The sequence below is a fragment of the Homo sapiens genome, chromosome 14 (genome assembly GCF_000001405.40).
Source record: "Homo sapiens chromosome 14, GRCh38.p14 Primary Assembly".
NCBI classification, from domain to species: domain Eukaryota; kingdom Metazoa; phylum Chordata; class Mammalia; order Primates; family Hominidae; genus Homo; species Homo sapiens.
This window is the reverse complement of record NC_000014.9, coordinates 93,568,957-93,586,035: the sequence shown is the minus strand read 5'-3', so window position 1 is coordinate 93,586,035 and position 17,079 is coordinate 93,568,957. Positions and strand designations below refer to the sequence as shown.

Here is a 17,079-nt window from a genome sequence, read left to right as displayed (position 1 = left end):
ATGGTGGGCATCTGTAATCACAGCTACTTGGGGGCTGCGGCAAGAGAATCACTTGAACCTGGGAGGGTGGAGGTTGCAGTGAGCTGATATTGAGCCACTGTACTCCAGCCTGGGCAATAGAGCAAGACTCAGTCTCAAAAAAAAAAAAAAAAGAGAGAGAGAGAGGTGTTCAATTTGTACTAGCAACTGAAGAGGTTTATCCCATGGATTCTCACAAAAAGAGGTAGATTTTGAAACAGTTGAACATATTCAGATGAGAACAACTACTCATTATTTTCACCCTCTCGGGAGGATCTCTAAAACTTTTGCCCCCATACTGGGGGCATCAATGTATTATACATGAGGCATGCTAGAGAAAAGAATTCACAAGTTAACCAGATGCAGAAACTAGTGCAGAATGTGTTAAAATCACCATTACACGTTTTGGCAATCCCTAGGATCAGAGGCAACGGCAGTCAAATTCTCTTGATCTAGATACTGAAAAGTCCATTGGGAATCTTCCGCCTGAATGTATTTTAAATGCTTGTCATAAGTACTTGACTGTTTTGTTTGATGTGAAAGTTTTAAATATATTTTTGGTGGTGGACATATCTGACCATGATAAGAAATAGGGCCAGGCCTCAAGATGGGAAAAAGGGAAACACACTAGAAGGGAGGGGAAGTCTCTGAACACGTGTCGACAGAGCACCCCTGAATTCTAGGACAGAAGAGCTCCAGATCACTGCCTGAAGGCCCGCAGAGCAGAAGCAGGAGAGAGGCTCTGAGGGAACCCTGGTCTTAAGGCCTGCAGAGCAGAAGCAGGAGAGAGGCTCTGAACAGCAGGGAACCCTGGTCTTGGAAGAAAGAGAAGAGGGACTCTCCTGCAGAGACAATTTATAACTGCATCCTGCAAGACAGCGGAGAGTCTGAGCAGGAAAAGAGGCTAAAGCTGCCACAGGAGCCTGGAGGAGCATGCAGGGGAGAACAAAGCATGTGTTTTAATAAGTGGACTGTATAACAATACAGCAAGGAAAAGAAAAACATTTAAAAATAAATTGCTGGCCAGGCGCAGTGGCTCACGCCTGTAATCCTAGCACTTTGGGAGGCTGAGGCAGGTGGATCACTTGAGGTCAGGAGTTCGAGACCGGCCTAGCTAACATGGCAAAACCCCATCTCTTAAAAAAAAAAAAAAACTTAGCCAGAGTGGTGGTGGGTGCCTGTAGTCCCAGCTAGTCAGGAAGCTAAGAAATGAGAATTGCTTGAACCTGGGAGGTGGAGGTTGCAGTGAGCCGAGATCACACCACTGCACTCCAGCCTGGGCAACACAGTAAGACCCTGTCTCAAAAAAAGAAAAGAAAAAAGAAATTGCTTAATTTTAACCATTGCTCCAATAAAATATTACGCAGAGATAAAAGCAGCAGTTAATTGATCTGTGTGCTAGCTTAGGTTTAAAAAATATATTTGCATAGAAAGAGTACAGGCTATTGGATCATGAGTGAAGTCCCAGCTTCCCATAGGCATGAATGCCTGACAGAAACACAACTGTAGGCCTGGGCCCTGGCTGCTGCAGCACCTACAACAAGTTAATTAATCCTAAATTAAAGTAGAAGACCTGGGTTCTAGTCCCAACCCTGCCACTAATTAGTTGTTTCCCATTCCCAGGTCCCCATCCCAGGGATACCCAGACTTGAAGCTGGGGAGTGGAGCTTTTGTTTGTGTTTCTGCTTCTCAGGGATTCCGATGTTCCGTTACAGCTCTGGAATCATGTGAAATATGAAGTATAAATTGTGAATGAATAGTAGGAGTGACATGACCAGGGGCAAGTTGTTTAACCCATCTGGGATTTATTTTCCTCATCTGCCAAGTACAAAGGCTAAACTGGATCAGCAGATTGTAAACTTCTTTTCTGCAGAATATTCTGTTTGCAGAAAATCTTAGAATTCCAACATATGGCCGGGTGTGGTGGCTCATGCTGTAATCCTAGCTCTTTGGGAGGCCGAGACGGGTGGATCACTTGAGTCTAGGAGTTCGAGAACAGCCTGAGCAACATGGCGAAAACCCATCTCTACAAAAAGTTTAAAAAACTAGCCGGGCATGGTGGAGCATGTCTGTGGTCCCAGCTACTCTGGAGGCTGAGGTGGGAGGACTGCTTGAGCCCAGGTGGTCAAGGCTGGAGTGAGCCGTGATCGGGCTCCTGCACTCCAGCCTGGATGACAGAGCAGGACCCTTATCTTAAAAAAAAAAAAAAAAAAAGACCTCCAACATATGAAAGAGAGTAAGTTGGAGCAATCTGGCAGAAGCAAGGTGGGGAGCCTGGGTCTTTATATTTTGCCCTCCTCTTCCCCCCAGGGGTTGCCCCAATTGAGGATGTTCCAAAAGAAATCACACTGAGCCCTTACAGCTTCAAGAAGTGCACACCGAAAACCAGTGAACCAGCTCACCTCAGGTATTCCTTCAAATTCTAAAGTTTATGACATGAAATAGTGTGAGCTGAGATATTCATACACAATTCACTGTTCATATGATCCATGGAGAAGCAGTTAGTTCTGACCGAAGATTTAGTAGGGTTACCTTCGTTTGAATAAGACACCTCCACAGTTGCAATGAACCCCAGAAAACAGTCCCCTAATAATATCTGCTGCTCACTGAAGAAATGATGCCAAGCCCATGCCTCCTGATACTGGAGTGGGCTCCCAGGAGCAAGCTATTCTTTATTTATTTATTATTTTTTTTTTTTTTGAGCAGAGTTTCACTCTTGTTGCCCAGGCTGGAGTGCAATGGTGCGATCTCGGCTCACCACCTCTGCCTGCCCAGTTCAAGCGATTCTCCTGCCTCAATCTCCCTAGTAGCTGGGATTACAGGCATGAGCCACCACACTTGGCTAATTTTGTATTTTTAGTAGAGACAGGGTTTCTCCAAGTTGGCCAGGCTGGTCTTGAACTCCCGACCTCAGGTGATCCGCCCACCTTGGCCTCCCAAAGTACTGGGATTACAGGTATGAGCCACCGCGCCTGACCAGGAGCAAGCTATTCTAACTCTTCCGGATCATGGATGCAGGAAGATTGAAAAGCTGCCCAAATTTGCCCCAGGTCTCATATAGATCCCCAGAGTGCCACCACCCAGAGCTAGAAATCAGGCTTTCCCAGAGGCACGTGGGGTCACATCCTGAAATCCCTAAACGTCCTCATGTGAGAGGAGCTAGAGTACGATTCCTGAGCCTATCTGCCATCTCACTGCCCCCATTGCGTCCACCCAAGAGCTTTGAGACAAATGAAAAAGTGGCTGCTCCCCAGTCCCAGCTAAGAGCCAGCAAAGTAGCCTTCGAGCTCAGCCTGCACAGCCCAACCGCCAGAGCCCCACTGCTTCTATTCAGAAACACTCTGCTTTAGCCAAATGCCCTGAGTGGCTGTCAAGATTGTCAGCACCCAGCCTTGGTCCACAGAGAATACCTCGCATTGTAAGTAGGGAGGCGATGAGTTTTTATTGAAAACCGGTGCCCGCTGCCAGAAAGATGCTCAGGGAACTGGGTTCTATGGGAACTGTAACGGATCTGTTCATTTTATAATCCGCTGGGAGATGTTCCTCTGCACGAGTCTATACTAAGGAAACCACGTCTGAATTTGCCCAAGTCGATATTAAACCAAGAACCCGGTGATTTGAGCATCAGGCCATGTGCACGTGGCGCATTCCCCGGCAGTCAGTGCACACCTACCAGCATGTTCCACGGGCTCGGTGCAGTTGCCTGGGTTCTCCCCATGCTTGCTTGCAGGATTCTCCTCCTCCTCCCCTTCAGGGCCTATGATAAACTCTGGTCTGGAAGAAAGGAGGCTATCCTCCAGGCTGTCTGTGGGCTCCTGAAATAAACAGGACAGGCAGCCAGGTAAGCAGCCCTGGAGGGGTGTCAGGAACGGTTTGCTCAGCTCAGCAAAGCTGGACTGCACACCTGCTGTGTCTCGGGTCCCATGCTGCTGAGGCCAGAGGCCAAGGCACCACACCCCAGAAGACCCTGGAGCTTATTGCTGGAACAGTGAAAAGAAATCTCTATCCGCTATTGCTGAAACATTTTCTTTCACTTCAAATATATATAGAAGAAGATCAAAAACATCATTAAATCTTCCTAGGCCTGCTTTCTCACCTCTGCATTAGTCTCCAAGATCAGTGTCCCACTCATCAAGTCATTCTCACCCATGTACATTTTATTCAATAACAGGACTTGATTAGGAAGGAATAATAACGGGTTCACAAAGCTATATTAAGATGCAAATGGCCGGGCATGGTGGCTCATGCCTATAATCCCAGCACTTTGGGAGGCCGAGGTGGGCGGATCACGAGGTCGGGAATTCGAGACCAGCCTGACCAACATGGTGAAACCCCGTCTCTACTAAAAATACAAAAATTAGCTGGGCGTGGTGGCACATGCCTGTAATCCCAGCTGCTAGGGAGGCTGAGGCAGGAGAATCGCTTGAACCTGGGAGGCAGAGGTTGCAGTGAGCCGAGATCATACCACAGTACTCCAGCCTGGGCGACAGAGTGAGACTCTGTCTCAAAAAAAAAAAAAAAAAAAAAAAAAAAGATGCAAATACTGGCCAGGTGTGGTGGTTCATGCCTGTAATCCCAGTGCTTTGGGAGGGTGAGGCAAGGAGGATCACTTGAGGGCAGGATTTGAGACCAGCCTGGGCAACATAGTGAGACCTCATCTCTAAAAGAATGTTTAAAATTATCCAGGCATGGTGGCATGCCTGTGTCCAGTTACCGAGGAGGCTGAGGTAGGAGGATTCTTAAGTCCAGGAGTTCAAGGCTGCAGCTATTCATGATCACACCACTGCCCTCCTGGGTGACAGAGCAAGACCCTATCTCTAAAAATAACAATAATAATAATAAATAATTTTTTTAAAAAAATTTAAAGACACAAATACTGGTTGTCCAGGGTAGTCAAATTTTTAGGAGTGAAAAACTGCTATAACATGTGAGTTACAGACAGCAAGGTATGGCAACCCAAGTGTCTGTCAACAGCTAGATGGAGAAACAATTTAAAAATGCATACATTTGGCCAGGCATGGTGGCTCATGCCTGTAATCCCAGCACTTTGGGAGGTTGAGGAGGGTAGACCACTTGAGCTCAGGAGTTCAAGACCAGCCTGGGCAACATGGCAAAACCCCGTCTCCACAAAAAATAATTTAAAAATTAGCCAGGCATGGTGGTGGGCACCTGTAGTCCCAGCTTCTTGGGAGGCTGAAGTGGGAGAATCACCTGAGCCTGGGAGGCAGAGGTTTCAGTGAGCCATGATCAAGCTACTGCACTCCAGCATAGGAGACAGAGTAAGGCACCGTCTCAAAAAAAAAATACATTTTACAGTATCCATTGTCACTTAAACTTTGTAATATAACTTTGTGATAAAAGTTCTTTTAAGAATACTACTAATGCATGGAACCATATGAATGGAGGTGCTACAACCCTCACTCAAGCCACTTAATAGAATTCCGTATAGCGTGGCTTCAGTTTGTATCCCTTTCCAAGAGCCTGAGTTGGCAGAAGCAATGGGAAAAGTTTCTTTTAACACAGTCTCACGTATAACCCAGCATGGAGTATAAGATGCTGCTGGAGGAAGACTCCATTACATCAGCTACTGCAGTCTTTAATGCTATTATACATGGGTCATCTCGTTTCTTCAACTGCTTACCACCAGCCGGCTTTCTTCTTTAGGAGCTAGTCTCTCCAGGAGTTCACAAGCAAGCTGATAGCAGAGGATACTAGACTGACATAAGTTGCACTCGATTGCTTTTTCGTCCTTCTGGCAGGTGTGGGATCCCCCCCAGGGGGCTTGGAAGACATTGTTTATAATAGAAATAATGTCCTTTGATAAGCTGTGCTCTAAACCCATCGTGATTCCATCATCTTGTAACTCCATCTGAAAGACATCAAAAAAAGGACACACGCACACACACACAAAAAAAAAAGAAGAAGAAGGAGTTTGGTCCATTTGTCCAATATTCCATTGGCACACTACTTGGGGATGATTTTCACTAACTGACAGAAATATTGAATTATTTAAAGACAATATAGGCTTCAAGACCATGAATATACATTGCTGTCCGTGGGTTTTTCTAGAAGGAATATAAACACAAGATGAAGCAATTGGAATTATTTTAAAAATCATGTAGGAGATTTAAAAGAGAGTTGTTGCTTTTGGCTAATCGGTTTGTGAGATTTTACACATTTAAAAAATGCTGCTCCTCACCTAGAGTCCAGATCTTGGTTTCTAAATACCATGAGCTGCTAAAAGGAACCAGGGCTCCTTGGAGAAATGGCTGAATTCCAGGGCTGGGGCTAGGAAAATATAAGATGAGCCTGGAACATCTTGTCACACCAGAAATCAAGGAAGAGTTCATAGAATGATGTGGATGTGCCAAAAGAACACAGGAGCCAGCTTGAAAAGATTCCCACTGGCCAAATGCGGAACAATACGAGCATCAAAATACAGAATCATAGTAACAGATTATAACCCACCAAATAACATAAAAATCCATGGGCACTGCGGGATGAGTAGATAAATAAATAAACACATAAATGGGAAAGAAGGAGAAAGTATTCCATCAGTAGAATACCAGTGAATACATTTAGAAGAAATGATGGAATTGGAAAATTATCACTCGACTGTCATGATAGTAATAATTGATGAGTCATCCATTGATGCTAACACTAGTGGATGAAAGCCTGATCATAAACAGGAAATCCATAAGGTAGTTACAAATTACTTATTAGTTACAAAAGGGAAAATAGTGACTTTATCACAGAAAAATGTGGCAGATTTTGGTCTCTTGGTTAAGGTGACCAAAGTTATCATCACAGTAATGGGACATTATTATATCTTACGCCTGCTGACATGATGCATTACAAAGGACATAACATCACATCTGTGGTCTTCCTGCCAAAAAAATGCATGACCCAAATTAATTCATAAGGAAGCATCAGGCAAACTCAAATTGAGGGACAGTCCACAAAATAACTGGACTATACTCTTCAAAAATGTCAAGGCCCCATAAGTATAGACACCTACGAGGTACCCACAAAAATTAAAAATAATTTTAAAAAAAAGTCAAGGACATGAAAGATAAAGACTGAGGAACTGTCCTAGATTAAAGAAGACAAAGGAAACAGTATCTGTAATTGCAATGAGTGCTTCTAGATTGTTCCTTAATCAAAGCCAGGCTTTTTTCTCTTGCTATAAAGATGACATTACTATTATTATATCAATTTTCAAAATTAATAATTTCTGCAAGTTATGTAGTAGTACTATAACACTATTAATTTCCTGATTTTGATAACTGTACTGTGTTTATGTAAGAGAATGTCCTTTTTTTTAGAAAATACACTCTGAAGTGTTTAGGGATAAAAGGACATCATGTCTGCAATTTAGTCTCAAATGATCTATTAAAAATTAACGCATACACATGCAGAGAAAGAGAAGCAGATGTGGTAAATGTTAACATCTGGAGAATTGTGGGGAGGAGTATTTGGGAATTCTTTATAGTATTCTTGTAACTTTTCTGCAAATCTGAAATTATTTCAAAATAAAAGGTTAAAAAGAAATGTTCTCATCAAAACCTTTTTAACTTCTCTTTTTAAATTAATTTTAAAAATCAATGTATAAAATATATTAAAATTAGCTTCATCACTATAGAGTTGTACCTTGCCCTTCCCAACAATAGTATCATCCTTTTTGTTAATGCAATTTATTTAACAGAATCAATTCTAATGACACTAGGGTGTTTCTAAAATTCAATCCATTCTCATATGTCAACATCACTGCAGATATTCACATAAGTAGTTTTCAGACTTTTTAGAAAATCTCCAAAGGAGTTTGCAAAAGGTCTTGGGTGATGCTGAATCATTTTGATAAGTGTGGAGATGCCCAACACATGGAAAGAATTGCTGTACAACGCTTTCTCTCATTCTTCACCTCTGAACTAAAGGAAGCTCATGCTTCAGCTACCTGCTTCAGGAGAAGATCAAACATGAGGATGAAACAATTTAGATTCATTTCATCATCTTCACAATCAAAGTCAATAGTCCTTCCTCCTGGGTGTCCAAAATTCTTGAAAGGGCTACGAAACGGACTACGCAAAGGACTCCGAAACGGACTCTGGAAAGGACTATGAAATGGACTAAGCATATTGTGCTGAACTCGTCGGCCAGGATCAGAGGCAACACTCACCTACAAGAAAGAATGGCAACACATAGAAATGAACTCACAGAAGCTCAAATTGCTGTGTAAAATATTCGGGGACTCTATGGAAGGTATTTCCAGCTGTCACACTTATTTCTTTCCTTAACCAATGGCATTAGTACCTCCAAATACTAAGGATTCTCTCAATATATAAAAACAAGAAATAAAACCACTCAAACTTCCTAGTTGTCAGGAAGTGACATCAACACCCTGAAGAATGAAGGCATCTGCCATTACATTTTTCAACCCATCAAACATGTCCAATTAGACCGGATTGTTTGAGTCTACTGAAAATTGTACCCCGAAAAATGAGAACTTACAAAAGTAAAATATTGCAAGATAATGTTTAGAATCAGAAGCACAGAATCTCAGGTTGACCTGATTGGTTAAAAGATGGTCTCTGGGGATTACAATTATTAAACTATTATGAGACAACAATATATGACAAACCTTTTGTACTGGTTATTCTCCATTTGTCCACCCAACCCCCACTCAGACTCTTACTACCTCCTTGGCCCTACTCTATGCCCAAGAAGTCGTGGACTGAGTCTCCTCTGGCTCCTTTGCTGCCTAGCTTCCAGTTGGGTTAAGTCAATGGTTTTTTTTGGATTATTTTGTTGTTGTTTTGTTTTGGGACAGTCTTGCTCTGTTGCCCAAGCTGGAGTGCAGTGGCATGATCACGGCTCTCTGCAGGCTTGACCTCTCACTCTCAAGCAATCCTCCCACCTCAGCCTCCCAAGTAGCTGGGACAAAAGGCATGCACCACCAGGCCCAGCTAAGTTTTTGAAAATTTTTTTGTAGAGACAAGGTCTCCACCAGGCCCAGCTAAGTTTTTGAAAATTTTTTTGTAGAGACAAGGTCTCATTATGTGGCCCAGGCTGGTCTCTAACTCCTGGACTCAAGCAATCCTCCCACTTCAGCCTCCTGAAGTGCTGGGATTAGAGGCATAAGCCACCAAGCCTGACTGGGTTCAGTCAATGGGAGGTACCAGCAGAATTCCTGAGACCTGGAGGAGAGAGAGGCAGGAGTATTTCTCCCCTCTCCCTGCCCACTTGGGTGCTACATCTCTGGGAGCATCTCCAGCACTCCGTAACTTCTCCAACCAGCCCTTTCTTACAGTTTCAGCTCCCGTTTGGTGCCCCAGGAACTCTTTCCCTTGTTCCTTCAGCCCTGGGAGTGTAAGGACTTTCTACTGGACTGTACCTGGACTCTAGGTGTCTTGTCCACCCATATTGCTCCTTTAGCTCCTTTAAGCTTTCCCATAATACTATAGGAAGAATCTCCATTAAAGTCTGTCATTTAAACTATCTGGGATAAATTCTGAATCAGGACCCTGACTAACACATCTGTACTTCACTCTCAAATCATATTTCTCTCTCTTTTTTTTCTTTTTCAATTTTTATTTTAGAATCGGGGGAACACATGTGCAGGTTTGTTACAAAGTTATATTGCATGATGCTGAGGTTTGGGGTATGATTGAACCTATCACCTAGGTATTTTTCTGTCTTAAAAATCTTTGTGGTAACCACAAAGCTCTTCAAACACCATTTTTAAGGTAAAAAGGAAGATTACCCCATTAAGAATCAGAATACCCAGGTATTCACGGTGTTTCTGTAGGAAATCACTTCACTTCACTGAACATCAGGTTAGGTAGTTGTAAAATGAAGATAATGAGTTCTTCCCTGGCTGCCTCACACAATTCTGTGATATTGTTTGCTGTGAACACATTGCACAGAATAAAGTGCTACACAAAGGAATGTCATCTTAAAGGTTACAGAAGAAAGAAAGAAAGTACAGATGGTTAGCAGCTGGCTCCTATCAGGAAGATGACAAAATAAGTAAGGATATTCTTTAAAACACTGAATGCAAACCCATAATCATGTTCCATGTTTTAATCCCTAGATGTCAGGTGGGATGGCTGGAGGCCTGTGGCATACAGTGGGGGAAATTTTGTAGAGAGGCTTGACAAGGAAAGAGTGGAGGACATTTTCTGCCAACCATCCAATAAGAGTCAACCTTTCCACAGCTGCTCACGGCCTGAGAACAGCAGCACATCAGCAGAGACTCTATCAGGCCTCCATAGAAAAATAACCAAAGCTGTCCAGCAGTTTGTATACACTTTAGACCAGACTATCTTGACTTTTCTCATCTACAATGATGCAAAGGGGTCAATAAAATGGGCTCAGTTGGTTCACAGTGACAGCATCCCTCACAGTCACCAGTAGTTGATCATATCTTCCCAAAAGACAAGGAAAAAAAAACAATCATCCAAACTCCTCCCAGACTCCTCACCCCCAAAGTGAAGCACTGATCTGCCTAGGAGATGGTAAAAAATTCTTATTCACCAGGAGACTCATAAAAATGGAATGTTACCAAAAAGCTACTCTTTTTCATCAAGGGAGAAAGCTAAAATTCAAAGAAATTAAAAATAAAATGAAAACTCAATAACTTACTGATTATAAACTATACCAAACAAATGTGACTATTTAATGCACTTAAAAGATGAACACAGCGAGATGGGCTGAAAACACATTTTTGGTTTCTTATGACAGTACTTTCAGGCGTAGGATAACTGACAAGGGTTTTCAAGATTTTTAAAAGCAAGACAAGAACAAATGTGGCAATAATTACCCTTCGAGATGCAAGGTTCCCTGCCAGTTCACTGACTCTTGATTTTCTTTGATTTGCCAGCTCTTTGACTGAATTAACTCCATCAGAAAACATACTTATTAGTAGTTGAAGTGGAACCATGATATCTAACTCCGATAATACCTAGGGAAAAAAGGCATATATCCCCCAAAAAACACATGTAAATTTTAAAACTCAAAAAAGCTATATTTAACCTTCTTTTTCCAAAGCAAATTATTGAACATAAGGATAATTAGCCTTACACGTATTCTATCAACACAGTCATCCTCCAATTTTCATACTAAGAAAATCAAAGTTATCACTGAACTTTCTCCTTTCCTCACCCCCAGCATCCAATAGGTCACCATGTTCTTTCTATTAACACTTCTCAGTTTCTTTTGATGCTGTCCCCCACTCTCCATACCCACCACTAGTGCCTTAGATCCCCACCTTTCTCCTGGACTAGCACTGCTTCTCCAGTCCATCCCCACTCTGATCTCAATGACCCATCCGATCCTGCTGTCTGGTACAACTTCATGTCAATCTGGGCCCAAATCAAGTCACTTTCTCTGTCATTAATTTTCTGGAAAAAAATGCCTTCTTCCTTCAGACAGAATTAATCCATCCCTGTTTTCTGCTTTCTTAACCTTTATACATATCTTTATTAGAGCAATTATTACTTTTTCTTCTGTTTAATTATCTAATCCTATCCCTCCCACTGTGAGCTGCTTAAAGAAAGGAAGTACGCAGAAAGGACTATTTCCGGTCCCATTTTTTATTCCAGTGCCTATTTCAGTGCCTGGCACATGGGAGCTCTTGTACGTGCTTCCAGAATTAATTATAAATGAGTCAACTCTAACCACTTTAGTGTCCACTCTATCCTCCAAATAGACCAAGGCTGGAAAACCTTCTTCAGCTGCAGCACTCTGTCTTATAAACCAAGGCTGGATGAAAGCCCAGTTCATAAAACGTGTAAATGTTGCCACTGTAGCTATAGGGGGGGACAAAGCTGTATGGGCTTATCCCCAAAGAGCACAGTGTAAGGGCTGTGCAACGGGGTAACTGAGGCAACATCCAGCCATCTGTAGGAAGACTGGCTTTCTTAAAAGGAGAATTACCTTACTGAAATCCATTTGGGAATAAATGGTTTAAATTCTAAATCCCAAAGTTGACTGTTTGTTTGTTTGTTTGTTTTTTGAGACAGGGTCTCACTCTATTGCCCAGGCTAGAGTGCAGTGGCTTGATCATAGCTCACTGCAGCCTCGATCTCCTGGGCTCAAGAGATTCTCCCGGCTCGGCCTCCCAAGTAGCTGGGACTACAGGCGTGCGTCACCACGACCAGCTAATTTTTGTATTTTTTGTAGAGACGGGCTTTGGCCATGTTGGCCAGGCTGGTCTTGAACTCCTGAGCAAGTGATCTGCCCACCTTTGCCTCCCAAAGTTCTGGGATTACAGGTGTGAGCTACCGAGCTGGTCCAAATTTTGACTTTTTAAAAAATGGTCCCTTTACTCTTTGTCAAATGCGAAGAATATTGCTCTTTAGTTTCGAAAAGGTGTCTTTACAACTTGAAGAGCTTATGGGATCCTATCCTTGCATGACACAGAAATGTACCTGTATCTGTAGTTAATCTAAACATTGATTCTGTCCTCATTTTCTAAAACTGCCCAAACTCATATCAGGTATTCAAGTTAATTTAATAAACTTTAATTGAACATCCACTTTTAAATACAAGCGTGTGCCATATTCTAGGAGGAGAGGATGAAGAGGGTTATAAATACAGAAATGAGTAAGACCTGGCCCCTGTACTCAAGAGCTTGAAATCAGGTGGCGAGACAGACAAAAACTGTGAGACAGAAATAGAACCAAATTCACACAGAGAACCTGGGAAGATGAGGGTTTGAAGTAGCAGGAAAGTTCACATAGGGGATAATTTTTGAGATGGACTTTAAAAGATAGGTTGGAGTTCACAAATAGAGACAGGAAAGGAAGTCATTCCAGGCTGAGGGAACAGCATGAACTACTCACTAAATCCTTCCCCATCTTTCCAAGTAAAGGACCTGTTTAATATCAAAGATTTATCAGAATCCCACAAGACAGCTATTGTACTTTTAATAGCTATTGATGGAAAAATACAAAAGGACCTAAAGCTACTAAGAATTCAGTAATATTATTGCACAATTTATATATTTATATGTTATTAACCACAACTAGAGCAACATATATTTGAAATTTACTCATTTATCTATGCATAGGAGATACACTTTCTTGGCAAACATGGGGACTTACGAAGTCTTTGCTATAACTCCCACTCTCTCGATCCAGGGATCTAAAGCTTATAAGCTAAGAACTATTTCCTAAAATGATCGAAAGTATTATTCACTTACATGAAGCCACAGTAAAGCTTGCTCCTGCACAGAGGAGGGGTATCCTGTAAACCGACAACTAATAAAACCAAACATCTCCTCCATTGAGAAAGGCAGAGGACAGAGTTCAATGTCAAACATTTTGCTGGAAAGCAGAGCAACAAAAGTAAATGACCAATGGGCATAGATTGGGTTCTACTAATACCACCACCGTCTTTCTAACTATTCCCTATTTGGAGAGCCAAGCCTTTTAGATTAGTTTGTATTCTGAACTGTTATCAGCATATTTCACTTTACTGTAAGAGAAGTTTATGTCATTGAAATAGAGATCTTATAAATAATTCATATGGTTGTTAATAACATTACTGTTCTTCCTCATATTAGGTTTAACAGAAGGAATTGCATTTCTAAGGCATTAGCATTGCTCCCTAGCATCTAAAACAGTTTCCCTTTGCACTTTTCCACCACATCCCACCAATTATAATTATATTTGAAAATTTCAAAATAAGTAAACATCTGTTTTTATCTATTTACTATTCCACAAGAACAAAATCTTTTCTGGACAATGCCAAATCATCTTAGGTTGAGGTATTGCAGCTATTTCATGTTGGGGCTTCAAGTTTCTCCACAGGGTGGTTAAAAAATAAATGAGATTATATAAAACGCTTAGTAGGGTGACCGGCATACAGTACATGCTCACCAAACGTTAGATATGATTATAATTACAGTGACTTCATTAAACTACTTACCCACCTTAATACTTCCCTGAATTCTTTTAACTGATTATCTGGGACTTCTGTTCTGATGGCTTCCAGCCATTCCGGCATAATACACTCCCAGACAGATTGATTGATCACATTATAGGGGATCAGGCAGAGGATTCGGTTGAGACCTTCCTTCAGCTGAGTCACTGTGCTACAGGACTTATCCCAGTAGCCACCAACCTGAAGAGGTTTCCATAGCCACAGGGGAAAAGAATGAAACACACTGGTTACAATTATACTCAAGGACTTCCTAAGGCAATGGGTACAGAGAAAGGCCACAATCCATCATGTCTGAGTCCTAGGCCAAGAATCTTCAGTGTGAGATTGATTCGTAAGACGGCAAACCACCAGGATCCATCAGTTACAGAAAGGAAAACATAGTTACGAATAGGCTCAAATATTGATTACAGATGGAATTTTTAATGATGCTACTGTTGATTTTCCAAATCACATGTGAATTAAAATTCCAAAGATTTATTCCCAACAGGATGAGCATACTATTAGAGCATTCTTATTCCTCAAGTCTGATAAATCCATTACAACATGCACGTTATACCTGTGCTTCAGAGGAACACGGTTTTCTACTACTGCATGCTTTGTATTGCAGATTTTTCATTACAGGAAATACGGTAGTACACAGTGCTCTTTTTACCCTATGCTGCGTACCCTGCCACAATTTTTTTCCTAAGAATGTTCTAAAGGTAGTTGAATCTGTGAATAAAAAGGACTGGCTTTTTAAACTAATTAAGATAGTATATCAATTTTTAAGAGCAGGAAAAAGTTAAAATCACGAATTTACAAACTTAGGTTGTTTATAATCCTGATGTTAGAGATCGTATATTCTAAGTATCAACGTAACAAAGGTTAAACTGGTCCTGAGTCTTTACTAAATAACACAAGATGTGTGAGAAACTACCTTAATTTAAATGAATTCAATTTTAAATGTTTATTACATCTAGAATTCCAGATTATTCCAAAAAATCAATCAATTCTATTTTAAAGCTCCAATATCTATTTGGTGCCATATTGACCAAAATCCTAGACAAGACAATTGACTAAATATTTTCAAGAAATGACTATATTTCTATAATTTCTGTTGTGTTGTTGTTAGTTACAGGTACAGACAGAAAAGAGCCAGCACTAATAACACTGAGATCCTGAAATATATCATTACTGAAGTTTTTTGGCTATGTAGTTTATGGTCAAGCCACATAATAAGGCTTATTGGTTTTGAATAGTACGTTGGAACAAGTACGCTTTTGGAAACCCTAAATTGTCAGTGGCCAGAAGACAGATCCTTTGGGTTGGAAGAGCTTTCATATTTAAAAGGATTTTTAGAGAGCACTTACCCTAAGCAAATGTCCTAATTACCCATAGGGGAGGATGAAATGGAAAGAAGGACACAAAAAGTATCACAGCTAGCCTAAAACGCTCCCTTAATAAAATTAAATAACAGAAATCAGATTTAGAACAAAAATTTAAATCTACACCCACCATAAACTCCCCTTCACCACCTTCCTCCTGCACATGGCCCAGGGGAAGGCTGATAGTCCAGTCTGATAGGAGATATTATGGAAGACTTCCCTTTACAGGTCAATGGGCTGAAGTGGAATGATATGCTCAGAGGGCAGGAATTTATCCTAAAGGCTCTGTTAAAAGATTTATAAAAACATTCCAAAGGCACACAGCTCTAAATTCAGAAGCCCTGGAACACAGGAATCTTTTGGTTTCCATGTCAGTTAGAAATTTTCTCTCCGACCTAAGGGGACAATTTCAAAATAGGGCAGTTGGATGGGCAGGCCAATCCGTGAATGCTATTGTTGATGTCACCACCCAATTCTTTGAGGTATTAAAAAAATAACTGTTCTAGGCTGAGGCAAAAAGATCGCCTGAGGCCAGGAGTTCAAGACCAGCCTGAGCAGCACAGTGAGACCCTGTATCTAAACAAAATTTTTTTAAATTAGCCAGGCATGGTGGTATGCACCTGTAGTTCCATTTACTTGGGAGGCTGAAGTGGGAGGATCGACTGAGCCCAGAAGTTTGAGGCTGCAGTGAGCTATGGTTGTGCTACTATACTCCAGCCTGGGCCACAGAGTGAGACCCCATATCTAACAAACAAATAAATAAATATTTTTTAAAAATAAATAAATGTTCTGGCTTTACTGAGTCTTTACAAAAACAGAAATGTGGCTTTAGGAATAACCTAAAGCTCCATCCATCCTTCTTACCAATCCCAAAACCTCCCCTCCAAAAGATGCTTGCAGATACTATAAAATGCCAGGACACTGGAAAATGGACTGTCCTGCCCTTAAGAAGGAGAACTTAAATAGTAATTTTCCTGGGCCTCAGCCTGGACATGTAAACACTGCAGACTCTCCAGACAAATAATTGTCCATTCCCCCATCCTCCCTTAAGCACCTACATGTTAAAGCTCAACACTGCTGGGAGAATTTCCTGTTTGTCACAGACCAAAACCTGACAATAGGCAAATATGTCCCTGGAAATCCTCTAAGACCAGTTACTTTAAAAGTCTGCATAATTCCTCTCCCCTTTTCAGATGTAAATCTTCTACCATCCAGAACTAAATTCTCAAGAACCTGACAGCAATCTCTTATTTTTTATTTTTTATTTTTTTTGGAGATGGAGTCTGGCTCTGTCACCCAGGCTGGAGTGCAATGGCGCGATTTCAGTTCACTGCAACCTCTGCCTCCCCAGTTCAAGCAGTTATCCTGCCTCAGCCTCCCGAGTTGCATGGGACTACAGTCGTGTGCCACCACACCTGGCTAATTTTTGTATTTTTAGTAGAGACGGGGTTTCACCATGTTGGCCAGGATGGTCTCCATCTCCTGACCTGAGGCAGTCTGCCCGCCTTGGCCTCCCAAAGTGCTGGGATTACAGGCGTGAGCCACCACACCCAGCCAAGAGCCATCTCTTTAAAATGCAAACATCCAAGGAAGTAATTCTGCTTTAGACCCCAGAATTGAGGCTCCTCACTTTTACTTGTAGTACTGCTTCTTATCACAAAATTCAAGAAATTTACTTCCCCTCCTGATAAATACTAATTAAAACCCCAGTCTCCTAAGAAAACTCCAATGCCTTTTTCCTTAGCTCGGCCCA

The 17,079-nt window shown here is 41.6% G+C and overlaps 1 protein-coding gene across 33 annotated transcripts in view; it reads right to left on the bottom strand.

Moving 5' to 3' along the window:
• UNC79 (unc-79 subunit of NALCN channel complex) overlaps positions 1 to 17,079 on the bottom strand; it is a 374,695-nt gene that overhangs the window by 121,841 nt on the left and 235,775 nt on the right. For 31 of the 33 annotated variants that reach the window (XM_011537027.3, NM_020818.5, XM_011537026.3 and 28 more), the window contains 6 exons: positions 13,952 to 14,142; positions 13,220 to 13,343; positions 10,838 to 10,978; positions 7,973 to 8,194; positions 5,660 to 5,887; positions 3,692 to 3,833 (listed from right to left, as the gene is read on the bottom strand). In XM_011537027.3, the coding sequence (XP_011535329.1) occupies positions 3,692 to 3,833; positions 5,660 to 5,887; positions 7,973 to 8,194; positions 10,838 to 10,978; positions 13,220 to 13,343; positions 13,952 to 14,142 (1,048 nt within the window). Of the gene's footprint in view, positions 1 to 3,691; positions 3,834 to 5,659; positions 5,888 to 7,972; positions 8,195 to 9,778; positions 9,852 to 10,837; positions 10,979 to 13,219; positions 13,344 to 13,951; positions 14,143 to 17,079 lie in introns of those variants that run through there. The other 2 variants (XM_011537024.3, XM_017021520.2) reach the window with 2 other exon arrangements.